Source organism: Homo sapiens, chromosome 4 (genome assembly GCF_000001405.40).
Source record: "Homo sapiens chromosome 4, GRCh38.p14 Primary Assembly".
Classification (NCBI taxonomy): domain Eukaryota; kingdom Metazoa; phylum Chordata; class Mammalia; order Primates; family Hominidae; genus Homo; species Homo sapiens.
This window is the reverse complement of record NC_000004.12, coordinates 6,438,463-6,465,561: the sequence shown is the minus strand read 5'-3', so window position 1 is coordinate 6,465,561 and position 27,099 is coordinate 6,438,463. Positions and strand designations below refer to the sequence as shown.

At 51.9% G+C, this 27,099-nt stretch overlaps 1 protein-coding gene across 6 annotated transcripts in view, besides 3 other annotated features; it reads left to right on the top strand.

Moving 5' to 3' along the window:
• PPP2R2C (protein phosphatase 2 regulatory subunit Bgamma) overlaps window positions 1-27,099 on the top strand; it is a 243,219-nt gene that overhangs the window by 98,238 nt on the left and 117,882 nt on the right. The gene's annotated exons all lie outside the window — the stretch shown is intronic.
• Window positions 1,499-2,044: an enhancer, noted in NCBI's record as "H3K4me1 hESC enhancer chr4:6465245-6465790 (GRCh37/hg19 assembly coordinates)". NCBI's record gives its function as "activates a minimal SCP1, AML or CMV promoter by ChIP-STARR-seq in naive H9 embryonic stem cells {active_cell/tissue: H9 hESC(naive)}" and the evidence as "EXISTENCE:reporter gene assay evidence [ECO:0000049][PMID:30033119]".
• Window positions 2,045-2,590: an enhancer, noted in NCBI's record as "H3K4me1 hESC enhancer chr4:6464699-6465244 (GRCh37/hg19 assembly coordinates)". NCBI's record gives its function as "activates a minimal SCP1, AML or CMV promoter by ChIP-STARR-seq in naive H9 embryonic stem cells {active_cell/tissue: H9 hESC(naive)}" and the evidence as "EXISTENCE:reporter gene assay evidence [ECO:0000049][PMID:30033119]".
• Window positions 21,659-22,158: an enhancer, noted in NCBI's record as "H3K4me1 hESC enhancer chr4:6445131-6445630 (GRCh37/hg19 assembly coordinates)". NCBI's record gives its function as "activates a minimal SCP1, AML or CMV promoter by ChIP-STARR-seq in naive H9 embryonic stem cells {active_cell/tissue: H9 hESC(naive)}" and the evidence as "EXISTENCE:reporter gene assay evidence [ECO:0000049][PMID:30033119]".

Sequence of the window (27,099 nt, the reverse complement as noted above, 5' to 3'; positions counted from 1 at the left end):
TCCTTTGCTTTTTGAATAAGAGGCTCTGCATTTTCATTTTTCCCTGTGCCCCACGAATTATAGGGTTGGCCCTGCTCTGCTGGAACTCTGGGTAGGGTGAACTCCTTGGCCCTGCCTTCTACCTCCTTGGCTTTCGTGATTGGTGGAAATGGTGAGAGCCTGCCATCCATTGGGCAGCTCTTCCCTATGGGGAGGGGTTACAATATTAAATGTCCGTGCTCCTCTCTCACCCATTGGGTCCATGGGCCTCTGACTTCCAGGTTGCTCTACAGGGGAGAGGCCAACAGTTATCTTATTTTACAAGCTAGAAGTTAGACCTACCTCTCCCCGCAGGACCAAGGGGTGGGGAGGTGAAGTAGGGGTCCATAGCTCTTTTTTTTCCTACAGGTTTACCATTAATAAAGCAGATTTTTTTATTCCTGTCTTGCGGCCAGTCTTTTCTGTGTAATCCCAAGTCCCAGCAAGGAAGAGGGGTGACTGGTTACCTTGGCCCCGCCCCCAAGTCACACAGTACACGTATTGACAACCATCATTTCATTGGCTGCATACTATTCCTGTGATACATGTGTCATCATTCAGTAGTTCAATTAATCATTTCCTTATGGCTGGATATTTAGTTCCCTCCCTTCCCTCCCTCCCTCCCTTCCTCCCTTCCTTCCTTCTCTCTCTCTCTGTCTCTCCCCCACACACTTTCTTATTTTCATAACTAACACTGCAGGAATGAACACCATTTGTGTGTGTGAAGACCCCCTACTCCCATCGTTCCCCCTTAACCTTGGGATGATGCTCTTCAGAAGGAATTCCACACGTGCTATTTCATATAAAGATCACTAGCATTTTTAATGTTGTTGACACACATTGGCAGATTATTCTCCAGAAAGTTTTTCTCTTTAACCACATGCTGATCAACATTAGGTAGTCTAATTTGTTTGACCTTTGCAAATATCAAAGATGAAAAATATTTATTGTAATTCACGTCTGCATACCAATGAGGTTGAACATTTTTTCCTTTTGTTCAGCGGGTATTGGCTGATCCCTGTTATGTGCCAGGGTGACATTAGATTCTAGACATACAAAGTTGAAGAGCAAGGCTGTGTCTGCCTTGAAATGTGGACTCTCCTCTCCCAGTGTCTTGGGTGCCACTGCGGGACCTAGCTACTTCTCAGGAGAGAGTCTGAAGCTGCTGGAGGAGTCTGTACATCCCTCAGCACCCTGGGGAGTCCTGTTAGTTACACAGGGCCTTGCAAAGACAGGCATCTCACCATTAAGCCCTTGAGCAGAATGATCCAAGTGGACTTTAGGATGAAATAATTACAAAACAAACACAATAGCCATTATTATGATTCACCATTTATTGGCTATGTACTATAATACTATATGCTGGACATGAGGCTGCGTGCATCTCATTGGAGATGCCCCAGACCTGATGTTGTGTATATTATTTCCCCATTTTACAGAGGAGAAAACTGAGGCTGAGGTGCTTGTTCAATGTCACATAGTTTGTAAGGGACAGAGCTGAGTTTTGAATGCAGCCTGCCAAACCCACGCTCCTGACTGCTACATTAATTGGCTGGGACCCACAGGGCAGGGTTAGGTGGCCTGTTCAGTTCTGATTATGCACCACACTTAGGAGATTTTGGGATTTGAACTAGACTACCTGGCTTGGTGCTCTTGCTATCTGTGTTGCGATGAAAGGCAATCGAGAGGGTTCAGCAGGAGGAGAGACCCCCTTCACGGCACAGGTAGATGGCAGTGGCAGAGGCCACAATTGGACACGTGGTCCAGGGACTGAAGGGCAGGTGGCATTTCCAGGTTGGGGGGTGATGATGTGCTGGGACATGGTATTCTAGCGCATTCTGGGCAGGAGGAACGGTGTGTGCAAAGTGGCATAACACTTGTCCCCTGACAGTGTCCAGCTCCTCTGCTTGAGACCAGGAGGCAGTTAGTTAGTTGCCAGCCGGCCCGGGAGCAGGACACACCTGGGGGCCCCTGTGCTGCCCAGGACAGGCACTGCCCTCCTTGCACAGTGGGGGCCATTGTCCTCCAGAACCCAGGGCTGAATGTCCCATTGAGGCAGAACAAAGGCTGCTCAGAGGTTCCCAGCTGGGGTGTGGGCTGCCGCAAGCAGGGATGGGATCTCCAACTGCAGGCCAAGGGCCTCCTCCAGGCTGGCCTGGCCTCCTGCAGCCCCACCCCCACCCCTCCTCAGGACCAGGACTGTTGCTGCTGGAGGCTGGACCTGGGCTTGGGCTCCCAGGCCTGTGCTCTGGGTCTGGCACAGCTGCCGTGCCCTTGGCAGCTTCTTCATCCCCTGGGCAATTTCCCCATCTATGAAGCAGAGAGAGAGCGAGCTCCCAACCAGCAAGGCTTTCAGGCAGAATTGAATGAAATAGTGCACACTCTGTAGGTTAATCTCAATAAAAGGGAGCTCTTTCATGATCATGATTAGCTTCTGAATGTTTTTTTACAATTTCAAAAAAGTTTTGATGCAAACTTTCAAATTTGTGCCACTTCTGGGCCAAAGTGTTTAAGAAGGGAGTGCACCTTCCCCCCTCCCTCTGTCCCAGAGAAGGGAGAGATGCCGCTCCCTGGAGCCCCTCATCACTCTGTGGAAGGGACTGCTGGCCAACTGTTACAAGAGGAGAAACTTCTTTGCATTTGTGAGAAAATAGTCTATTGAACTGCTTCCAATCTATCAAGATCTTGCTGTACTTCCTTCATTTACTCTCCCCTGCTTTTGGATGAAGAATTTTTAGGCAAATCCAAGACTCCTGTCATTTCCCCGTTCCATCTGCAGGCATCTCTGAGTGTTGAGGGCATTTCTTGTAGCCCAGTGCTGTTATCCCACCTCACAAAACATATCCTGATTCTTTGTTACCTAAATTCTGGTCCATTTTATGAACGTCCCCAGTTGTCTGAGAAATGTCTCTTATGGTTGGGTGGTTTGGCCCAGGATCCAAAGTCCTGCACCTGCGTTTGGCTGTTCTGTCTCTTGTCTTTTCTGACCTAGACTCAGCCTCCATCCCCTTTTCAGGCTACCAACTTGTTGAAGACATTTGTTATTATTTTATTTTATTTTTTTTAAGACGGAGTTTCACTCTGTCGCCCAGGCTGGAGTACAATGGCGTGATCTTGGCTCACTGAAACCCCCGCCTCCCGGGTTCAAGTGATTCTCCTGCCTCAGCATCCTGAGCAGCTGGGACTACATACAGGTGCCCACCACCACGCCCGACTAATTTTTGTATTTTTAGTAGAGACGGGGTTTCACCATGTTGGTCAGGCTGGTCTTGAACTCCTGACCTCAGATAATCTGCCTTCATTATTATTTTAGAGATTACAGTGTCACTCCCACTGTCCCTAATTTGTGCCTGGATTCCATTTGCCCTGTGGGTCTGGAAGGCTGAGAGGTGGTTGCTGGGACCTGGGCATCGGCCTTGGGGCTGCCCCTCTCTCCTCCAGGACCCCTTTCTGCAGAGTGGTGCCCTCGCCACTCCCTGGCTGAGTGATCTTGGGCAAGTTGTCCAGCCAGGCCGTGCCTGGGTGACCACATCTGAGCTGGGGGTGAGCGTGGCTGCACCATCCTCTCTGGGATGTGGTGGGTGTTGAATGAGATGGTGCATGCCACGTGCTCCGTGGGCCTGGTGCCTGTGGGTCCCTGTCTTACCCCCATGATGGGGATGTGGCAGGAACTGGGGTAGCCACCGCCTGCCCACACAGTGCTCACTTTCTGTAGGGGAGACACCCCTCAGCTGGTCACTACATACAGCAGGACCAGCACTTTCTGAGGGAAGAGGGATGTTCTCTTGGGAAGTCTGGATGCTGAAGACAGTTTGTTACTCTGATTAATACCAGTTACAAAGAAATCCCCACATTCCAGGGGCTTGATGTCATAGAAGTTTATCCCTTTGTAACAGTTCATTGTGGATGATCCCAGTTGGCCCAGGAGTCTCTTCCACAGAGTGATGCGGGGCTCCAGACCCTTCTCATCTGTCAGCTCCCATGTCCTCTCCATTCTCCGGGGAAGAGGGTATGGGGAAGGTGCACTCCCTCCTTAAACACTTTGGCCCAGACATGGCACTTGTGACTTCCCTCACATTCCATTGGCCAGAGCTAGTCACATGGCCCCACCTAATGCAAGGGGCTCTAGGAAATGTAGTCCCTGGCTGGGCAGCCCAGTGGCTACTCTGCAGTGGGAAGAACCTGCATCTTGGTGGATGTCTTGCCATCTTTGCCACATGACCCCACAAAACAAACCTTTACATTCTCAGTCCAAAAAACCCTACTAAGAATCCTGTGCTGGAGACACCCTCACTCAACCCCTGACCCTCCCCTCTCCCTGCTTCAGTGTCCACACGTGCACGGTGCTGTGAGATGCAGAGTCCAGAGTCATGCGGTGGCTAGGAGGTCAGGGACGCCTTCCTGGGAGAGGCGATGTCTGAGCTGAGTCTGCAAAGCCAAATAGGTGATGCCCAGGTGGATCAGGTAGGAGAGGGATTCCGGGCTTCGGCTGCAGCAGGGGTAAAGGCTGGTGTCTTGGGAGAGGGCATCCTGTGTAGAGAGGGGTCTGTGGGCCACTGAGATTTAGAGGATGTGTGTGGGGTGGGGTGGAGTGGGAGAGGAGCTGGAGCGGGATGGGAAGTGGGAGGCAGGACTGTTTGTGAAAGGCTTCAAATGCCGAGATAAGGAGTTTGGATTGTATCCTATTGACATTGTGGAACCAGATGGAGATGGGGCATTTCCCTTTGTTTGAAAGTATTTTGATTTCTATTGGCTGTCTTACTACAAAAAACATATGTAGTCATAGCAAAAAGTTCAGAAAATTTAGAAAGAGAAAAGGAGGAAAAGAAAATCCTACCACTGAAAATATTTTGGTATATGTGTTTTTGCCTATGGGTATACATACTATCTAGGTATATATATATTCCTACATTTTTTTATTCACTGAAAGATGGTTTTTGAGCATCTACTGTGTGCGTATCCTATTTTGTAATCTTTAAAATTTTCTCTTAATGATATGGGAGCTTTCTAGCTTAGAAAATAACACAGCCCATTTTCTTAGCTTGCTGGGACTTCTATAACACAGTGCCACATACCGGGCAGTTGAAACAACAGAGACTTACCGCCTCACAGTGCTAGAGCTTGGGAGTCCAAGATCAAGGTGTTGGCAGGGTTGATTCCTTCTGAGGCCCCTCTCCTTGGCTTATAGATGAACATCTCCCTACTGTGTCTTCACATGGTCTTTCCTGTGTGTGTCTGTGTCCTTAGAGGGACACCAGGCATATTGAGTTAGGGCTCATCCATATGACTGCATTTTACCTTCGTCACCTTGTTAAAGGTCCTTTTTGTCAAACACAGTCACATTTTGAGGTTCTAGGGGTTAGGACTTCAACAAAGGAATCTTGGGGAGGGGGCACATTTCAGCCCAAAGCACCCGTCATCATTGGTAATATCAGTCACATGCTTCTTCTATGTATTTTAAAGAGTTCCATGCTGGTGGGTATCAGAAGTTATGGTTGGTTTAGGATCATGAGCAGTGTTGTGAGGGCATCTTTGCACCTTTTTGCGTGCATATTTGGTTATTTCCCTAGGGTGTGGAATGGCTGCTTCTGAGAGTTTGGTCTTTCTGAAGTATCTTCATCTAATGTCAACTTTTCCTGATGACCAAACTTGGTACTAACAACTCCCTTTCCCCAGAGCATTGCTAGTGGCGACTAGATCCAACATATTTAATATTTGCCAATATTATGGTAAAAATTGCTGTTTTTTTGTGTGTGTGTGACAGAGGCTTGCTCTGTTGGTCAGGCTGGAGTGCAGTGTCGTGATCTTGGCTCACTGCAACCTCTGCCTCCCAGGCTCAAGCAATTCTTGTCTCTCAGTCTCCCAAGAAGCTGGCATTATAGGCTGTGTTCTTTTAAAGCATTTTTCAGTGAGATTGAACTTCCTTTATTATATTTATTGACCATGGCATATATTCAATTGTAAGTTTTTTTGTGCACCGTTCTTGGCCTGTTTCTCTACTGTAATTGTCATCTCTCTTGCAAACACTGACCCTTGGTTTGTTGTTTCTGGTAGCATTGATTTTATGTGGTTAGATGTCATGACTCTTGTCCTGCTGAGCATGGATCTCCCATTCCACAATCATGAGAAGAACCAACAATATGGAGGAGGTGACACCGTGTAGCTTTGGAGGCTAAGTAAAAAATAGGTCATGTGCTTCTGCCTTGGAGCCAGCCACCATATTGTGAGGAAGCCCAAGCAGTTTGTGGAGAGGCACATGCAGAGAGGAACCAAGGTCCTGGTTGAGCTGCCTGCCTAATATCCAGCACCACCTTGCCAGCAGGTGAGTGAGCCATCTTACAGGTAGAGCCTCCAGCCCTCAGGCAAGCCATCCATATGGAACAGAGATGAGCCATTCCCACCAAGATCTACCCAAACTGCAGATTCATGAACCAAATAAATGGTTTCTGCTTGAAGCCATTAAGTTTTGAAGTGCTTTGTTACACAGCAGTGGGTAACTGGAAGAGTCATGGATTCCTGACATTGAATTCCTGGTCCTCCTCCTTCTCAGGCTACTTGTCTAGATGTTCTGTTCTCTCCATGATTCTGTGGATCCCTCAGAGCCTTCCGGTAACTTCCTTCTTTGCTTGTGTTAGCCTGGGTCAATCTCTGTTGCTTATAACTGACAGACATGGGAAACCAGCCCCAGCAATGAGAGGTGACCCAGCTCAGATCATGAGACAGGACAGGAATCCAGGCCTTTCTGAAACATAGCCCAGGGTCCCATCCCACAACGTGTCAGTAGACACCATGCCTGCTGGGTCATGCCTGCTTCCGCTGCACCCTGCCAGCTCAGCACCTGCTATCTTCCAAAGGCCATTGCTGATTGCTTGTACACACCTGTTAGTTCATGCACAGACAGCAAAGCATGTAGTTGTGCTGCCTCCTTGCCTTCCTGCTATGATCTGAATGTTTAAGTACCCCCTCCAAATTCACAGGTTGAAATCCAGACCCCCAATGTGAGGGTATTTAAAAGGTGGGGACTTTGGGAGTGATGAGGTTGTGAGGGTGGAGCCCTCATGGGTGGGATTAGTGCCCTTATAAAAGACCTTAGAGAGCTCCCTTGCCCTTCTGTCATGTGAGGACGCAGCGAGAAGGCACTGTTTGAGAGTCAGGAAGTTGGACCTCAGTGGACACCAAATCTGCTGTGCCTTGATCTTGGACTTCCAGCCTCCAGAATTGTGAGGAATAAATGCTTGTTGTTTATAAGCCACCCGGTCTATGATATTTTGTTATAGCAGCCTGAACAGACTAAGCCACTCCCAGTGATGAGCCTGCATGATGTTTTACACAAACAGATCACTGAAAGAAGGAATTGGCCAGCAAAGATGATGCTCAGCAGAGATGTGAAAGATGTTAATGCTGGAAGTGAAATTTAAATTGGAGGTAAATGGAGTCATAGAAGAAATCCATGATCTTGGGAAGCTGAAGCTACCCTTCAAGAAGCTCTTATATGCAGCCAGAGGAGTTGAGTGAAGGTGAACACACTGATGTAAACCAGGAAAGGAGTTGTGCCCCAAAGCATGGAGATGTCCCAGAGGAAGCGAGGCTGGGAAAAACGTTAAAGGAACTCTTGAAGATATTTCACAGTGTTGAAAGTGCAAAGGATAAAATCTTGGAAGCTGGTCTGGAGAAAGATAATTCTGCAAAGCATAGAAAGGGTGCTTTTTTGGTATCGTAAGGTATACAATAACAGTAGCGAGCACTGTGCAAACTCTCTCCATATGTCTTTTACAAAGAAATAAAGCACTTGACATCTCAATGTTTCTGATGCTTTAAATTACATTGTACCAAATAAATATTAGTTGTACTATTTTAAAAAAACTTTCCCGGTTGGGCATTGTGGCTCACACCTGTAATCCAAGCACTTTGGGAGGCTGAGGTGGGAGGATCGCTTGAGCCCAGGAGTTCGAGACCAGCCTGGGCAATATAGTGAGACCCTGTCTCTTCAAAAAATAAAAAAAAATTAGCCAAGGATGGTGGCATGTACCTGCAGTCCCAGCTACTCAGGAGGCTGAGGCTGGAGGATCACTTGAACCCAGGAGGTTGAGGCTGCAGTGAGCTATGATTGCACCACTGTACTCCAGCCTGGGTGACAGAGCCAGACCCTGTCTCAAAAAGAAAAAAAAATTCCCAGTGCATTCCCTATGGACATTTGTAACTGTCCATAAAAGACTTTTTAATGTCTTGACAAAAAATTTTAAAGGCCACAGAAGAATTGTAATTTCCTCATTGATTATTAGGATGGCTTTAAATGGTTTTAGCTTTCATGCTCTATTTTTTTTTTTTTTTTTTTTGAGATGGAGTCTCGCTCTGTCGCCCAGGTCGGGGTACAGTGGTGTCATGTCAGCTCACTGCAACTTCTGTCTCCTGGTTCAAGCAATTCTCCTGCCTCAGCCTCCTGAGTAGCTGGGATTACAGGTGCCTGCCACGGCATCTGGCTAATTTTTGTATTTTTAGTAGAGACGGAATTTCAACCATGTTGGTCAAGCTGATCTTGAACTCCTGACCTCAGGTGATCTGCCCGCCTTAGCCTCCCAAAGTGCTGGAATTATAGGCGCAAGCCACCGCACCTGGCTCATGCTCATTTTTATGGATCCACACCACCCGTACAGCAAGGACTGCCTGCACTCATTCCAAGTGGTCAGAGTGGTCACCGCATGGGCCCTCCACGTGGCCAGGCCACAGTGATGTTTCAAACCCTGGCTGGGGGATTGCATTCAATATCCCCTTATTAAAGGCGGCAGCTCAAGAATATTAAATCATGGGAATTCCTCACTGTGGAAGTGGGAAGGCAGCCCGTGGTTCACCGTGAGGGGCACCCAGAGCTCCCCCTCCACTGCGTTCAGTGTGCAGCCCTCCAGCCAGCCTGTCTGCTTCGGGAGCAATCCATCATGGAATGAACTGACCGAAGGAGCGAGGGGCTGAATGATGTGGTTCCTACGCCGACTTTCAATGTGAAAGGTGATAAAAACAGCCCTGAATATTTTATGGCCCCAAGGAGAGGTAAGGCTCTTTATTGAAGCTGTGAAAATATAATCCATCATGATAATGTGTCCCATATCGTCAGACTCTGCGAGCTAAGTTGTGTGTATGTTAAGGTGCTCTTTTTGAGAAGATCTTAATTTTATTTCTCTATTTTATTTCATTACAGAAACGTTTGAACGTGTAGACAGTAGAATAAAGGGGGGGGGGGGAAATAACATCCTTCATTTCACTACTCCAGAAACACTGCTCACATTTTGTTGCATTTCCTTCTAACTACCCCCTGCAGATTGTACTATGTTTTGTGTCTTTTAAAATATTAAATGCACTGTCAACATTTTCCCAGATCATCCTGCACTCTGAGTTAACAATTTTTATTGGCTGCATAATACTTCACGATGTAGGTATTATTATTCATTCAATAACTATTTATGGATTCATTGATCCGATTAGTGTTGATTGTCTATAACAGGTGTGTGGGTGGGGTAGGGGGATTCAGGAAGAAGGAATAGGGCGCAGCTCCCCCCCCCCAGGATTTCTGGAATGAGGGAGACATAACAGATGGCTGTGATCCGGTGTGAGGGGCAGGGATGCAGTGGGCCCGTTGCAGCCTGGGAGCAGGTGGTCAGAGATGCAAGGCTGTGGGCAGCAGTGGTTGGTGGTCCACAGCAGTAGGCAGCAGGGGGAGGGGGCGACATTCATGGCAGGAGGGACATTATGGGCACAGCACGGCGTGGTGTGTTCAGGGTTGGTGGAGCGTTCACTTACAGTCTTGCAGATCCTGGCAGGTGTGGTGGTGATCTGTCCAGGCAGGGGAGGGAGAGGGAACTGAGAGTCATCAAAAGTCTCTGGGAGTTTGGAAAGGAGAGTAGGGGGCTCAGAGGGAGTGTGAGCACTTCCAGCAGAGGTGAGAAAGCCCCCAGTCAGTTGCCCAGGGTGGGCAGTGGAAGGGAAGTGGAGGTGAACGTTGTGGGGTGGAGAGGGTTTTCAGGCAGGCTGGGAGCTGCCCAGTGTGCTGGAGGAAGGCTGGGTCTCCTTGAATGGTGTTTGGTCAATGCAAGACCACAGGAGTGTGACTAGAAGGCTGGGGGTGCAGATGGTGGCAGGTGGAGGACAGAGAGAGCTTCTCCCACTGCTGAACAACGACTGCCCCAACTTTATGGGATGAGCATTCTTATGAATGCCCATTGTCCTGTATTCCAGATTATTCTTGTGTCTGTCCAGGTAGGGATGCAATTTCTTGATGTAGGGCTATAGGTGTTTTTAAGGGCTTGCATAAAGATTTGAATATGATGTTGTCTAGTAGAGTAAAAATCAAATTGGGCAAAACATTTTTGTTTGGGTGATTTTTGGAAGAGTAAGTCCACGAATGCAACGCAGCTCTGGAGTCATCTGTAGATTACAGCAAGCCCATCAGTCTCTATGTCTCTTGCTTACAACAAAGGATTGATTTCAGCTCCAGCACTAGGTGACTTGTGCTGTGTTCATTATCCCTTGATAGGTGTCTGACAGGAGATGGGGCTTGGGCTGTGCCAGGGAGGAGCCGTGTGGTGCACCACCTATCTCTGCAGGCATAACTATTTTGTCTTCATGGCAAAATAATAGCGATGATGGTGATGAGGAGGGAAGCTACCATTTCTTGACTGCTCCTGTGTAATGACATGTTGGTGATCACATTAGGGCTTTATGTCCACTCTGGGAGGTGGTGAGAATGACATCGCGTTTGCACATCAGGACGCTGAGCCTCAGAGAGGTTGAGTCCCAGGACGAAGGCCACACAGTGAGTGCCACAGGTACCATTACCACCTAACAAATGACTCTGGAGCTCAGTGATGTGATGAGAACCATTTTATTCTGTCTCCTGGATTCTGTGAGTCAGGAATTTGGGCAGAGCTTGGCTGGGCAAACCTTCTGCTCTAAATGGCCACCCATGAGTCTTCCAAGCTGGTGGGTGGACTGATCTGGGGGGACTGAGATGGTCTCACTCACACATTTTCTGCGGGGTGGGGAGAGTTGGAAGGCGGGGCTCCCCTCTCCAGCGTGCAGTCTCAGGGCAGTTGGACTCCTTCGATGGCAGCTGGCTTTCCCGAATCAAGTATCCCCAGATACCCAGGTGGAAGCTGCTTGGCCCTTCCTGACCCCTGGGACATCTCAGTGTCAATTGTGTCACCTTCATTTAGTTCAAGCAAGTCACAGGCCGGCCCAGGTTGAAGGGCAGTTGGACTCAACCTTTGCATGTGGGAAGGGCCAGGTTACATGGTAGAAAAGCAGATGGGATAGGAGACTGTGCTCTGGCCCTCCCTGGGAAACACGGTGTGCCACAGACGCCCTGGGCAGAGCCAAGACCCCCACTGGGCTCTGTCTGACCTTGGAGCCACTGCCCCGCTCCTGAGCAACACCCTCTTGTCCCCCTGAACAGTCACAGGAAGAACGGGTCCCTCTCTCCATGCCATTTTCCTGTTAAAAAATGCAAAAACATCCCATACTTTTGCTCATTTAAACACAGAGGAAAGGAGGTGAGTGAAAGCTTTCTTTAGGGGTAGATTAGATGTGAGGCAGACCGGTGGCCCTGGGTGTGCACCGGGTGGAAATTATTCTTACAAACAGGGCCGGGTGGGGGTGCAGCCTGCCACCGCCCCTCTGGCCGTCTGCCTCCACAGGAGGCTTGCAGGTGCCCACATCAGCCAACGTGGCCCTCGGTGGGGCTGTGCTTGCCTTCTTGCCAGGGCCACTGCAGTAGGGAGGAGTGCAGAGCAGAAACAGGTGAGCTGGGCTGAATTTTCTGCTTGGCTAATTCAGTGTGGCTTGACTCCAAGAAGGACACACCGACCTCCCCATCATCTTGTTTGTTCAGCCTTGCAGAAGCAGTTTTATGAGAAACCATTACAGCCCCGGTGGTCTGGGCCCAGACCCGGTGCACACCACGTGCCCGCACTGGTGCGGGGGGACCATTCTCGGTGAATATGATGGATGCACAGGAAGCCGCCCTGCCATTCAGTGAGAGCTCACCATGTGTCTGCCCCTGGGGTGGGGTGGGGTGGGCAGTTTCCAGCCTTTGCCCATGGGATAGAGCTGCTGGAAGTCTCCCCGAGCTGAGGAGGCAGAGCTGGGGTGGCTGGGGCTGGGGGTTGCCATGGATACTTCCTGCAAGTCCTGACGCCGCTCCTTCCTCTTTGGGGATCTGTCTCCCATACTGTCCCTGCTGCCTTTACATCTTCAGGGTGGAGAGGGACTCTGGCCATCCTGGGGCCAACCATCCTGTGTCACTGCTGGTGTTTGTGACCTGCGGTGGGCCCTCCCTCAACTCCGTATCTCCAGCTCTAAGCCAGAGACAAGAATATCCTCTGTGGGGGGGTCCCTTCAAGGGTGGATGGAGATGAGGCGTTAGGTGTATCCGATGCTCAGGAACGGCCCCGCACCTGCTCATCTTTATGATGAGCAGTGGGACTGCGGGCAGAGGGAGCCACACGCATCCATCCTGGCTCTCAGCATCCCAGGGAAAGATGTTCTGCTCTATCCTGATCAGCCTCGCCCTTTAACCAACCACAGGCTGCCTGCAGTGTGGCCGTGGGGAGCTGGAGTCAGGCATGGTGGCAGCCCTTCTAGACAGTAGGCAGTAGGTAAGCCTGCTGATCACGGAGCCGAGATTCTCTGTGGGACAGAGCTGGTCCCCAGCATCCCTGTGGCCTTTGGGCCAAGAACTCAGTCGGCTACTTTGCTTCCAGGCTTGGGAACACTCAGGGTAGGCTGGGAGTCCCCTGGTCTCACCCTGTGAGCCCCACATAAGCCTGTGGATAGCACCAGCTCAGCAGGTGACCCCCTCATCAAAACCCCAAACTGGGATGCTTCTCTGGCTACATAGGCATGGCCACATGGGGACAGTGGGAGGACATGTGATAATTTGGGGCAGCGGCTGAAAGCCTAGGGGTTAGGGCTACTGTGTCCTTCTAAGGTGGTGCAGGGCGCACAGCCCTCTGGGCCTCAGTTTCCTCTTCTGTGAAATGGGGACTCTATCTTGGGGCCGCAAATGCCAGTGTCTTCTCTGGAAGAAAGGGCGACTGCTGAGGGAAGCAGCACACAGGTGTGAGGGTCCAGGCCCCAGACGGGATCCCACAAAGACCTAGGACAGTGAGCCAAGAGTGGAGAGAGGGGACGAGGGTGGACTGGGGTGGGCCCCAGGAGCTGGGAAGTGAGGAAAATCCAGCTGTGTCCTGAGGGTTAGACTCCACTGCCAATGTTCACAGGATCTGGAGCTGATGGGAACCTGCGGTGTCACCCTGAAGGGACAGATGGCCCCCAGGCTAGCAGGAGGTGGCAGTGTCCGTTTGGCAGCAACATTTGACAAGCAGAAGGCAGTTGGTCCCTCCTGCTTCCTGTCCAGGCTCTTGGGGCTGGGACCCCACTCCCAGCCCTGTCCTCCCCAACCTCCCCACACTTACACAGGCCACTCTGGGGCAGAGGAGGGGTGCTGTGATTTGTGGGTTTGGGAGAAGTTGGAAGCATAATGGGTCAGGCCTGCAGCTCGGTCCACACTGCCTGTGCCAGGTGGAGCAGGTGAGGGCATCCCTGGCTCTGGGGTGGTGTCACTGTTCACACTTTGTCCTATAGCCAGGCCCTTCTTGGGGGTGAGGGTTCCGTGGAGCCCTCCATCTGCCTGGCTCTGCCGATCCAACTCTTTTCTCTCTCTTGGGGGTTTCAAACTTAGACAGGAATAGGGGTGTCATTTATTGGGCCCCAGACAACCTGACCAGGTCCCTCAGAGCACTGAGGCCGGGAGGAGGAGGGTGGAAGGAGATGGGAAGAGTTTCCTTTGTCCTCTCTCCCTGGCCATCCCCAAACCTCCACACAAACCTGGGGTGGCTGAGCATTCATTATGCTTTGTCTTTGTAAATAGGCAGCTATAAAAACCTATCAGCTTGCAGCACCTTCTCCATAACACAGGCTGGATGGATTTATAACCCAGGTCCCCTCCCCGAGAGAAGCTGGCAAAGCAGACCCCAGCCCGCGCTGGCTGCCATCACCCTCCCTGCCCCTGCCCCACCTCATGCAAGAAACAGAAGGGAAAGCACATTGAGTTGTAATATGTTTTCGATGGAATTTGTCACAATAAGAAACTGGATTTTGTTGGGGCTCATGGGATGTTTAGGAAAGAGCCAGAGAGTGGTGCAAGCTGTGGGCCGTGCCGAGAAGCCTGGGCTACAGGAGGGCAGGGGCTGGAGTGTTGGCAGGGTCGCACAGTGGCTCATCTGGACAGTCCACAGCGGATCCAGCCCACACTGTGTCAGGCACTTTGCTGGGACTGGGGGATGTGGCTGTGGGTACGATTGACAAGGTCTGTGTCCTGAGGAGCCCGCAGAGCAGATGAGATGGACATGTGGTCAGTGATGGTACCGTGTCGGGTGGAAGAGACAATAGGCTGAGCTGCCCAGAGCATCGCCTGACCAGCTTGGGTGGTGGCACGTCCAGGAGGGCTTCCTGGAAGAAGTGAATTTATTCAACACATGTTCACTAGAGCCAGTGATGCTTAGGCACTGAGAGTGTTGCCAGGGATACAGGAGAGAATGGGAGAGTCCCTGAGTCATTCCAGACTGTGGGGCTGAAGTGTCCGCCGATGGAGGTGTGGGAAGGGCACAGCGGCTTCCCACGTGAGCAAGGAGCTATGCAATGTGGCAGGTGGCAGGGCCAGGCGGAGGTGCCTCCACCTGTCTCCAGACCCCACCCCCTACCCAGGTATGGAATTGTTGTCTCCAGTTGGCAGAGAAGGAAACTGAAATGGGGGTTTCACCTCTCAGGAATGGGTAGGCCAGGATTTTAACCCAGGCCTGCAGACACCAAATCTATCCCTCGCTCAGGCCTGCACTGACCTCCGTGCACCTCTGGGGCTCCAGGCAGCTGCCTGGGTGGGTGCTGTGTCTGGGGTCTCTCCTGGCGTTCCTTAGGCCCCTCCCCTATCACCGTCCTTCATTATTCACTTGGATGCCTTGATGGTCGGGGCTGGAACCCCCCGAGCTGACCCACCATGCGGCTCATCTTCCTTCTCCTTCCAGTGCTTGGTGATCTTGAGAGTGAGGCTGAACCGTTGCTTGATTTTTCTGTGACCCAGATGAAGAGCTGGGTAACCATTTGCTCAATAAAGTGAGAGACCCCATGTTCTGGTTAAAGTGGAGGCACTGAGGACCAGCGAGGGGAAGGCAGTACTTGTATTTGTCAGCCTGGAGGAGACGCCAGATACCAGCCAGAGCACCCCAGCCTGTATCTCGACCACCACCTGCAGTTGGTGCTGAACCCCCCCACTCCACCCCATAGATGAGACAATTGAAGCCCAGAGAGGCCAGGCTTCTTGCCGAGGGCTGCACAGCCGGCAGGGATGCTGGAATTGGGATTTGGCCCCAGCCTTGTCTGACTCCAAAGCCAATGCTATTTCCACCATACCCAGTGTCTCCCAGAGCTAATTTTGCGGCTGGAACTGCAACCCGCAAAGCTATCTAGGACAGGCAACTCGATGAAAGAGAATTAGGAGGGAATCCTAGAAAAATGGGGCTCGGCAGCTCCCGGGGAAGCCTGGAGAGGAGGTGGCGCCGAAGCCTCTGCCAGCAGATTGGGGTGGGGCTGTTTTCAGTCCTCTCTGGCGAGGTGTTTTGAAGCCTCCTCTGGGAACCGTGTGCCTCTGTCCAGGACTGGCTGTCTCTCTGGAAATCATACCCTGGCAGCATTTGGCTTTGGGTGAAAGGAGAAGAGAAGATTCTGGCCATTCAGAGCAGGCCCTTGTGCGGGATGGAACCCATTTTCCAGAACTCTTGGGACAGGGACCAGGGTGGCAGGCAGGGGCCCGTGGACTGCCTGGGGGACCTGGTGCTTGGGGACTTAGAGATTTGTTTTCCTGCTGAATATATTGCTTTCTCGTGCCTGCTTTGTGCAACCACGTGAGGATGTGGGGGTGAGGATGGCCGACAGGACACGGGAGTCCCTCCCGACAGGGGCCAGGCGGCGGCGGGGGTCCGCATGTCTCACGTCAGCATGGCTCTGTGTTTTCACTCCTCTCCAGCACATATTTAGTGGAAATGAACTCATTTTATTATTAAAAATTAAAGTCATGCATTCATAGGGTAAACAAGATTGAGAGCATGTGGAGGTGCACTGTGAAAGTGCAGTTCTCTCGGAATGGGCACTTAGAGACGCGCCTGTTCTCTGCAGCTGCCGCAGGGGTCTCATCTTGTTGGGACAGAACACGGTTGATTCATGCAATTGGCTGTTGATCAACATCAGGTTGTGTCTAGTTTTGTTTTTTTCCCGTTTCGCACGGTGCTGCGAATTCACAGCTGTGCCAGTGTATCTGAAGGTAAATCCCACGAGTGGGCCTTGGAGAGTCAGAGGATGGGGCCTTCTACGTGGACTTGGTGTGGTTGGGTGTGTGATGCCTGCGTGGGGCTATGTGTTTTTAGCCCTTCCTTCTGACAGGTTCTGGAGGCCTCCTCTGTGCCTGCCAGCCATGCAGCCGCTGAGCCGAGCATCACCCAAGGCTTGCCTGAACCTGGCCTGGGTCCCAAAGGAACACTGCTCTGGGGCATGGAGGTTGGCTGGTTGAGAACTAAAGCCACATCAGCAGGGGCACTGCCCCCACCTGCTGGGGTCAGCCCCCGCCCGGAGTTCAGCAGGACCTCCGTGAGCCTTCGTGCAGGTGGCTCATTGCAGCACGTCCCCTTGGGGTGGTGGCCATTGGCTTGTGGTTCCTTTGCTCACTGGGGGGAGGAGGACAGCCAGGCACAGGTGAAAGGGGCTTGCGGGTGACGATTCTAGTCCTTGGCCCGGGGAATGTCCCTGGGCTTCTGAGGCCTCACCTCCCTGGGTAGTCAGGAGGGTTACGAGGGTGGGGCCTGGCCCTGGGGACTCCAGGGTGTGGCAGCAGTGGGAGTGAGGAAACAGCCCTGAGACGGAGGGAGAGAAGGGCGATCCAGATGGCGGTGGCCTCCTCACCCCTCGGCCAGTGATGCATGGTAGTGGTTTTGACGGGCTGACCTCGAGGGTCTGCCTGGGAGCCGCTTGGAACTCTCTGGAGGTGGGGCCGGCCCTGGTGGGGGCAGGAAGGTCCCAGAGCAGCTTGTTAAGTGGGCTGAGGACAAGTGTCAGGAGACCTGGGTCTGGATCCCGCTCCAATACCCCTCTCCGTGTGACCTCCAAGGGATCCACCTGCCTTGGCCTCTCAAAGTGCTGGGATTACAGGTGTGAGCCACTGTGCCCAGCCTGTGCCCAGTGTACCCATCAGTAAAGCAGGGATCAAACAGTTCTTAAATCCTGCAGCGGTGGTGAGAGCCACCTGAGGAAACGATGCAAAGGGCTTTGACGGAGTCTGGCACAGAGAACGCACCCAATAAATGACTGCCGTGACGATCTTTCTTCTCGCCCTCAGGTGGTCTCTGGAAGCTCCTCTGTGCGGGGTTTTCTCATTTGCCAGCTGTGCATCCCCCGGTCGTAGTGCGGCTCCCACGGGGGTGTACCAGGAGCCTCTGCTCCTCCTATGCTTCCTGAAAAAGGGCCCAGAGAATATTTCCATCAGGAATAACTGAGTGAATCCCAGAAACTTCCTATCACATTTAGGGTGATTAGGCAGATGCATACGATTCTCACTGTGGGAAAGGAGCTGGCGACCTCGATGGGTTGTGGTTCCCGCAGGGATGTGCTTGCGCTGCTGTTACTCCAGCCGTAGCTGAGGCACGGGAGAAAACGGAGACCCCGAGAAGTTCAGAGGCTTGTGCAGGTCACGCTGTTCCTACGAGGTAGACCCTGACTTTGACCCCAGGCTGTGTCCCTGCCAAGCTTGGAGCCTCTTTCTCAAAAGGGCGACGGAAGGATGTTGTTACAGATGTGGTTGCCAGTTTCCTCCTTTTCATTAAATCACCAGGGAAATGGTCTCTTGCAACCCCCCTAAAGCAGGGGGAAGGAGGAGGACAAAGGTCAGGTCACCATCTTTGCTGGCATGTGAGTGGGGTGGGGGTGGGGGTGGGGAGCTAGGAGACCTGGCGCTGGGCCCTTGAAATATCCACATTTCCACAACATTCTGGGTGTCAGTGAGCCCCTGCCTTCCTCCCTCACATTTATCCGGAGCTCTTCCTCCGCAGGGAAGAACAACAGCCCGAGATGGGGTTATTTCAAGGGGATTTCCATGGAAACGGGAGGGTGGGAGGTTCCTCCCAGCACTTGTATAATGGGAGTTGGCTGAGGTGGCAGCGTGTCCCCACGGAAGGGTGCGAGGGACCTTCTCTGCACCGCAGGCCTCCTCAGAGTGGGAGGCACCGACCCGAGAGTGGCTGGCTCCCCTTTCATGCTCCCACCCTCTCTACCCAGCTCAAGACCCCGGGGCTCCTTGGTGAGAGTGAGAGCCAGGCCAGCTCCCCAGGGACCCCCAAGGCCTGGTCCTTCCCATGGTCTCTTTTCTCTAGCAGGTCTTTGTCTTGGGCTGCTGCCAGCCACAGCTTCCTGGCAGGACCTCCTGGCAGGACCTCTGTGCTTTGAGCCGCTGTTGCTCTGCCAAGACCTTGCCCCGCACCGTGGTCTGAATCAGCCCAGCACCCCTTCGCCTCTGTTGCAGTGCTCACATTTATCCCTCACTCCTCCATCCAGCATGTTTTGTTTTTTTTTTTTTACAAGCAGACACTTTGCTTTATAAAAGAATTCTGCTGTGAGCTGCCGTATCCTCTCTGAGCCTCCCTTTTGTCATCTGCTGAATGGTAACAGCAGCGCCTGCCATGCCTGCTTGGTGAGGATTCCATCAAGCAGGGAGACAGTGGGCCGTTGGCGGGGAGTCTGAGCAGGTGTACCAGTATTTCCAGTCAGCTGATGGCTGATGGACATGTTCTTGGAGGCAGGGAACTCGGAGGCCTGCAGACGTGCCCCAGGATGACAAGATTCATCAGTTCCTACAAGCCCTGCCTGGGCCTCATGCTTTTCAGTGTGTCCTGGGCTTTCCCGTGTGAAATCTTACCTGATTTTTATGCCACCTTGAGAAGAGTGATATTCATCTCCGTTGTACAGATGAGGAAACTGAGGCTCAGGGAGGCAACGTGATCTTTGCAAGGATCCGTCTGTTCCCCCCGTGGCCTGGCTGCCCCTCCTGGCAGTGCAGGTGGAGTTAAAACCATACAGGAGTTAAAATGAGCCTCGATGGGGGTGGGAAGCTACGACTGGAAAACGTCCGATGCTCTCCCAAGTCAAATTGTGCTTGGTGTCTGTGGGTGTGTCGGTGTGGGGGAGGGAAGCTCAGCCCTTTTGAAAAGTGGGGGGTGGTTTGACGACGCTGCAGGGGCAGCTCCGAGTTCTAGAGTCTCAGAACGTGGTTCTAGGCGGTTCATGTGGATCAAGTGCTGTTCTGAGCACTTTAATATCCAGCGTGACCATAAGGATAAGTGCCACTGTTACTGGCTTTTTCACAGATGAGGAAACTGAGGCACAGAGGGATTAGGTAAAGTGACTGGAGTCACTCAGCCAGGATGTGAATCACAGCCCACACCCATGTGCACCAGGAAGCCTTGGCTTTCAGGGTCCTTGGAGGGTGTGCCGGGCAGTCGCCTAAGCTGGGAAACCTTGGGCTTGTCTCCAGGCCATGTGGCCATGTGAGATAGGAGTCCTCCTGTGTTATGTTCTGCGACACTGTGGGCAGAGGGCTGAGGACCCCAGCCCTCCCTTAGAACATCATGTTGGTGTGAGACATTTAGAGCCAGGCCTCCCTGCTTAGAAAGCACCTCTTGGGTCACTTGCATTAGTGAAGTTATACATTTGAAACTCCATTTATTTATTTATTTATTTAGAGACAGGGTCTCTCCTTGTCACCCAGACTAGAGTACCGTGGTGCCATCATAGCTCACTGCAGCCTCAAACTCCTAGACTCAAGTGATCCCCCTGCCGGGGCCTCCCAGAGTGCTGGCATTACAGGCATGGGCCACAGCACCTGGCTGAAACTCCCTTTTCATGAAAAGAAACAGCTTCAACTTTGCAATCTCATCTGTCTGTCTATGAGGCTGTGCCTTTGTGTGAGATGAGAGCAGTCACTGTCACTTGCTCTTTGAATATTTGATTAACAGGTAAACAGCCTGAAATCCATTTGACATCTTATCCTTTTGCAAACTTGGCTAAATTCTCTTAAATTGGTTCCAGTTGGATTAATTAAATGCATGGTTGCTTATACATGTGTGTGGAAATGATTCTGGCAGGTCATGTCTTAGCTAGATAGTGAACATAAGCGTCTAGAATATTCTCAGCTGTTGCAGAGACTGCCAGGAATGACCTTGAAAAAGTTTGGGAGAGGGTTTTTTTTTTTGTTTTTATTTTGCTTTTGTTGAGACAGGGTCTCACTCTGTCACCTAGGCTGGAGTGCAGTGATGTGATCTCAGCTCACTGTAACCTCTGCCTCCCAGGCTCAAGCGGTCCTCCTGCCTCAGCCTCCCGAGTAGCTGGGACTACAGGCAGGCACCAACATACCCGGCTAATTTTTGTATTTTTTTTTTGTAGAGTTGGGGTCTCACCATGTTGCCCAGACTGATCTGGAACCCCTAGGCTGAAGGGATCCACCTGCCTTGGCCTCTCAAAGTGCTGGGATTATAGGCGTGAGCCACTGTGCCCAGGCTGGAGAGGTTTTTGGATGCACTGGGCCATGGATGTGAAGGTGAACACATGGAAACGATCCCTGCCACCTGCTTGTGTGTCCAGTGGACATGTCTCTGATCTATCCAGATTGTTACACTGTCAAAGTGAAAACTGCTGAGAGTAGAGCCATCTGCCTGGCCAGGCATCGCTTGGAAGCGTGAAGACACTTTGCCTTTTTGTCTCATGATTCTCTCTCCATGTGCAGCTTCGTTGGCTTAAAAGAAATTAAGAAACTGGGCCCCCGCTTAGGACCTGCTGAAGTGCAGAGTTACTGTCTTTGAAGTGGTGGGGTAGGGAAAAATAGGAAATAAGGGGTCTGATCATTTTGAGAAACCTCAGGGAGATTTACACCTGGGCTGTGCGAGGACCCCGGAGAGTGGCAGAGTGTATTTGGAATTTCCAGTAGTCCTCATTCCTCCCTTAATATCCAGGGGATCTGGGGCCTCAGTCTTCTTATCTGTTAAATGGGACAAGTAACGACTAGGCTTTGGGGTTGTCAGGAAGACTGAATAAGAAAATGGGTATGAAAACAGTGGTCACGGTGCCTGGCCCTCCATCCCTGTCTCCACCAGGCCTACCTGTCTGGCCCAGGCCTCCCTGATCTCCGCGGGAGCAGACCTCCTGTAATGGTGTCAAAGGACCCTTGTTCTATTTATCCATCTGATTTCCATTTTCGGGGCCACTGCCTCTAGCCATGTTAGGCACATGGTGAGTGTCTGTCCCATCAATCCTTGTCGATTCTGTGGTCCTGGGTGGGCCATAGCGTTTCTAACCTGTCCACTCTCTCCTAATCAGGCATTTGGACCTGTTTGGGTTCCCAAACTCTGTCACGGGCAGAGGGCTGCAGGAGGCTACTCACGGGCCAGGGTTGTTTGGACCTGGTTGGGTTTCCAAGCTCTCTCGCAGTCAGGGGGCTGCAAGAGGCTACACATGGGCCAGGGTTGGGCTGCTGGGCTGCTGGGCTGCTGCTGTGTTGGAGCTGCCTAGCACTTGCTTCGTTGCTGCACCTGAGAGGCTGTGTGGGCTGAGACAGCCAGAAAAGATGCACCGGGAGCCATCTGTTTGCAGCCCTTGGACCAGATGCTCTGCAAGGACTCCGGGGGGGCGGTGGGGTGGGGAGGGAATACATTTGCTGAGCACCCAGCATCTTTCAGAGCCTCAGCACAGCCCTACAAGCTGGGCATTGCCATCATGTTTATACGGACCAGGAACACGAGGCTCAGAGTGACTGAGTCACTGGTGACAGTCACCCAGCCAGGAAGTGGCATAGGTGGGGCTTGAACCCAGGGCTTCCTGAGTCCCAGGCTAGTGTTCTTTGCCTCAGGCTGCTGAGGTTCCAGCTGAATGTTGCGGCAGAGTGACTTCTGAGAAGTACCACGGAAGGGGGTGACTCACGCCGGGGTGGTCTGGCTTCTCTGCCCAGTGCCTGAGGACACCCAGGTCCCTCTGCGGCCTTGGGGCTTTACCCAGCGTCTGCATGGCATCCCGCAGCACCCTGCCTCTGGAGCGCACCCTGTGTGTATCCTAAAGTGCGCTTTGCCTAGAAAACCTTTCTAATGAAACTGGTGGAAGATGGAGAAGCCAAATTCAGTTTTCAGAGATGACACTAATCCTATTAAGGTTGATGGGGCCAGAGCATGTGTGGAATTAGTCCTGCCAGGCGGCGGCCGGGCACCTGCCTGGAAGGCTGGAGGGGATCCTAACAAGAGTGGTGCCGAGGAGAGAGAGGGAAGGGGCCTCATCTCTCCCAGAGGTTTAAAAAAACTGAGGCCACTGTAGAGCTTGGTTCTCCCAGGTTCCTGGGGTGGAAAACAGGGCTTCCCACAGCAGACGGAAATGGGAGGTGGGCAGTAGTCACCGAGCAGGGAGGCTGTGAAGTAGTCATTTAGGTCGGGAAAGTCACGCAAGATCTCCAAGCTTCAGTCTCCTTAGCTGTGATGGGGGGAATGGGTGCCCCCCTTGGGCGACTTGTGGGACCCAGAACTCATCACGCAGAGCGTCCCACTGCTGTGCAGCCACTAGCTGCTCGGTGCTGGGGCTGTGGTATGAGCATGGACTCTGGAGTCAGAATTCCTGCCTTCAAAGCCCCACTCCTCACCTTGCTAGCTGTGTGGCCTGGGGTGAGTTGCGTAACCTCTCCATGCCTCAGTTCCTTCATCTATGAAATGGGGAGACTGAAACTGTACCCCACACCCTAGGGGTGTTGGAACTTAAGTGAGTTAATTCATATAAAACACGGAGTGAGTGCCTGGTACGCAGGAAGTGCTCAGTTCCTCTTGGTGCCTGTGATTATTCCCATAATCATCACTGGTGTCACCTTGTCGCCTCTCCCAGCCCTTGGGGCCATGCTATTTGTGGTAGGAAATGGGGCCTGAAACCATCAAACTAAACTGGACTGAATGATCAGTCCACCGACCACCACAGTCACGGCTTGGTGGCCCCACGGACTGAAGCACGTGGCCAAGGGCAGTTTTCCCTTCTCTGTGTGGGTTCCACTGGGTCCAAGTACATTGTTCCTAAGCCCAGGCCTCTGGCCACTCACCCACCTCCTGCTGAGAGCGGGCAGAGCTGATGCCCCTCTCTGGGCAGAATCAGCCCACGGCTGGGAGGGGAGGCCAGGCCTGCTGCTGGGGGTGCAGATAGTGGGGAGCTGCAGGCCAGCCACTGGAAACCTGGCCTGTGTGCTGAGACAGCACATTGGACACAGTCTGGTGGCCTTCCCATAGATCAGGCCACAGAGTCCTCATCCTGGGTCCACCCAAGGCACTGGCCATTTCCAGATCAAAGAGCAGGTGGATTCCAGGGTGAGACGGTCCTCTCTGCTGGCTGCCTTCCCCCACCCACGGACACCGTTTGGCTTTGATGGGGCTGTGTCCTAGGCTTGACCCAGGTGGTCAGGAGCCTTCCACTATGCAGTGGGATATGCTGCAGGAGTAGGGCGGAGAAGGAAGGGAATGGCCGGTGGTGAACAGCTGCCATGCCCCAGGCATTTAATTTTGACCGCAGTGCTGGGGGGCCATACCCAGTAATACAGATGAAGGACTGAGACTCAAGGGTCAGTGCTTGCTCAGAGACCCACAGTGAAGAGTGGGGCCATCGTGTTGCATGTGTGTGGCTGGGCCCCATCCCCTCCTTTCTACAGCACCACCCCTCTATTCCTTATCAAGTTCACCTTTAAGGCTCCTTTGCCCCTCACTGGGGCAGTCATGAGAGGAGCAGAGGCCTCGGATCTGGGCATGGATGAGGGTAGAGCCCTGGCTGTGTCCTGCAGGTGACACGTACAGAGCAGAAGGTGATGCTGGAACCATCCGCCAGGGAAGGGCTGTCCAGGAAGAGGTCACAGCCTGAACAGAGGCGAGGTGGAGAGAGAGTGCTCGTGTGTGGGGACTGGTGGCAGCTCAGGAGGGCAAGACTGTGACTTGCAGGCTGGGAACCAGGGAGGCTGCAGGTGATGGAGGCCCCATGGGGCTCATGGGGCGGGCTGAGGAGCGTGGCTCCTCCCCTGCAGCTGGAGGGGCCAGGAAGGGCTTTAAGCCATGGAGTGAGGGACCAGAGTTGGGTTTAGAAGGGTCACTGTGGTGTCGGTGTGGAGGGGCTTGAAGGGAGGAGTTTGGAGGGAGGGGCTGTAGCAATGTTGAGATTCCCTAATCACTTTAGTGTTTTCATGCATGAGGGCCCTGAGGTGCTTTTTTCCAGAGCCTGCACTGAGGTTCCCTGTTGGCGGCTTCCCTCAGGCTGCTGGAACCCCCTTTTCCTGTGCACCTGCAGAGCTGGAGGTTACTGGAAACTCATGTCCTCTGCCAGAGTCAGCCCTCACCCAGTCACTGACAGGTGCAGTGGTATAAATACCCCAGCTCCCTCCCTCCTGATCAGGACACTTTGAGATGGGACCTACACTGTCCCCAGAGCTCCCATGGGACTGAGCTCAAGTCGCACTCCTTGAGATTTTTCCTGTTATCACACCCCACTTGGCCTCCTTCATGTCCTGGCCCCACTTCCCTACACCCTTCCTGGCTTTCCCAGCAACACTTCCTAATCACTTCCAGAAAAATGTTGGCCTCAGGGTCTGCTTCTGGAGAACCCAGCCTAGCAGAGGGCAGCAAAGGTGTTGAGGCACTAGGAGAAACATGGTGAGATACAGACTCAGGCGGCGTCCATCAGCTATGCCAGGAGGCTCTGAGACGTGCCAGTCAGGGAGGGAGGTGCTGAGGCCACAGCAAACCGGGGGCCAGAAGTAAGCACCACAGACAGCACCAAGGCTGCCAGGGTCCATCATCTTGGGTCTCCCAATTGGTTGGGTCCAGAGACCAGCCTGCTGGCGTTTACGGAGCCAGCATGTTACATCTCTCTGTGTCCCCACTGCTGAAAGCCTCTGGTCAGTGCCATGGTGCTGAGGGAGCTTGGGCCTCCCTTAGAGGTTGCTAAGAGCCCCCAACACCTGCCCTGTGAGTTGTTGGCCCCAGGGGACTCTGAGTTTCCCTGTTTCTGGTTTTCCTGCTCATGGGATTGGGAGTCTGACCTGAGCTTGCTGAGACAGATAACTGATCATTCAGATACAAAACTCTAAAGGTTAGAACTCTTTTCTGATAACTTAAATAGAAAATGAATTCATGCAACATGTACTCATCTGTCCATCTGCGCACGCATCCAACATGTATGTATCTCAGTTGATTGCTGATTCCATGCCAGGCCTTGGGGATCTAGAGATGGCTTGGTCCCTATGGTCATACCCATGTGAAGGGAGATAGAGGTGGACAGAAAGACAACCATAATGTCATTTTGACAAATTCTGGGAAAAGATGGGCCACCCAGCCTGTGAGACCTGTATGTAGTGATGGAGGGATGGGGAACGGTGGAGGTGTCAGGGAAGCTCCCCAGGGGAGCTGTTCCTTGAGGTGGTTTTAAGAGCTTAGCAAGAGTTTTCTACGCAGTGAAGTGAAGACGTAGGGCAGGTGGAGTGGAGGGTTGGCACCTAAAGGTCCTGAAAAGGAATGGTGTTGCAAGAGGCAGCAAATAGCATGGGGTGGGCTAAGCTCCAGCTGGTTGAGTTTGGGTCAGAAGTGTGGACTTGGTTGGTAAGGACTCCTGAGAGTGTCATGTCCAGGCACTTGGACTTGATGCTGAAAATACAGCCATTCAACAGAGAAGTATGTATGTCTGAGTGTGATGTGGTTAGATCTTTAGTTTAGGAAGACCTCTCTGTTCATGGTGGGGAGAGTGGATGAGATGGGGGTGGACTGGAGGCAGAAGAGCAGAGGAGAAGAGCAGACTTTCTAGGAGACGAAGCGGGAGGGGCTGCTCCCAGGGCCTGGCTGTGAGTGGTACTGACCAGAGCCATCCATCAGCCCAGATCATGTCTCCCTAATTTAGAAGAAAATGAGAGGAAAGAGCCTTTTCATCTCTGCCTCTTCTGGGATGGAAATGAGCTATTTTGAATCACGCTAAAGTTAGATTTCTAGTTTTCCTTTTAATCCGTGTCTCATTTAGAGCATTAGAAACTGGAAAAGCACCCCCGTATGAATGTAGTGTCATAAATCAGTGCACGTCACAAACTGCAGAAGGAGTCATTTCTACAAGAGTGTGCAGCCTTGCATTTATGATAAATCTAATGCTTTATCTTTTTGGGCTTCAGACTAGAGTAATTAGTCATTTCTGCTGATACTGGCAAACCATTGCATGTGCAGTGTTAATGGAGAGCAAATGTATTTGAACTGCTTTTGCAATTGCTTGTGAGCATTGCTGTGTATCTCTTCTACCTGTTTCTAGAGGGGAAACATCCTATATATTTCATTCTTGCCTATTCTAGGAATAGGTGTGGTAATAGTATCAGGTAACACTTACTGGGTTTCTTCCACATCTCTGGCACTGTTCAGAGATTCAATAAGAAAGGATCCTTTGTCCAAATGGAAGCTGCCGTGTGTGTGTTGAGGTCCTTGGGTCAATCTGATCATGCTCTGTCTCCTGCTCTGTGCCCGCACTGTGTCAGGGAACACCTGGATACCACTCATGTATTATTCACCTAATAGGTTTCTTTAAATGTTGGCCCTCTACCATAAATGGAAAACCAGCAAATCAGGCCAAAAATAGAAGTAACCAAAGACAAGCGCAGGTGTTTCTGCTCTAATGAAATAGAGACATCCTGAGAAACTTCTCATTCTGCAAAATCCCAAACAAATGACATCAGAGCTGATGGACAGAATGGGGTTGGGACAGATGACTGGAAGTCTATGCAGTGTGTCACCAGACACTCATAAAAATATTAAGTTTTAGAAAAATCTGGCACAATGAAAGAAAAACATATTAATTCCTGTTAAAGAAACATTCCAACCATTATACAATCTTATCTTGAAGGAAAAAGTGAAGGTCATTTAATGGAAGGGGCTGAAAGGGAGGGAGCTGAATTATGGCTGGGACATGGCC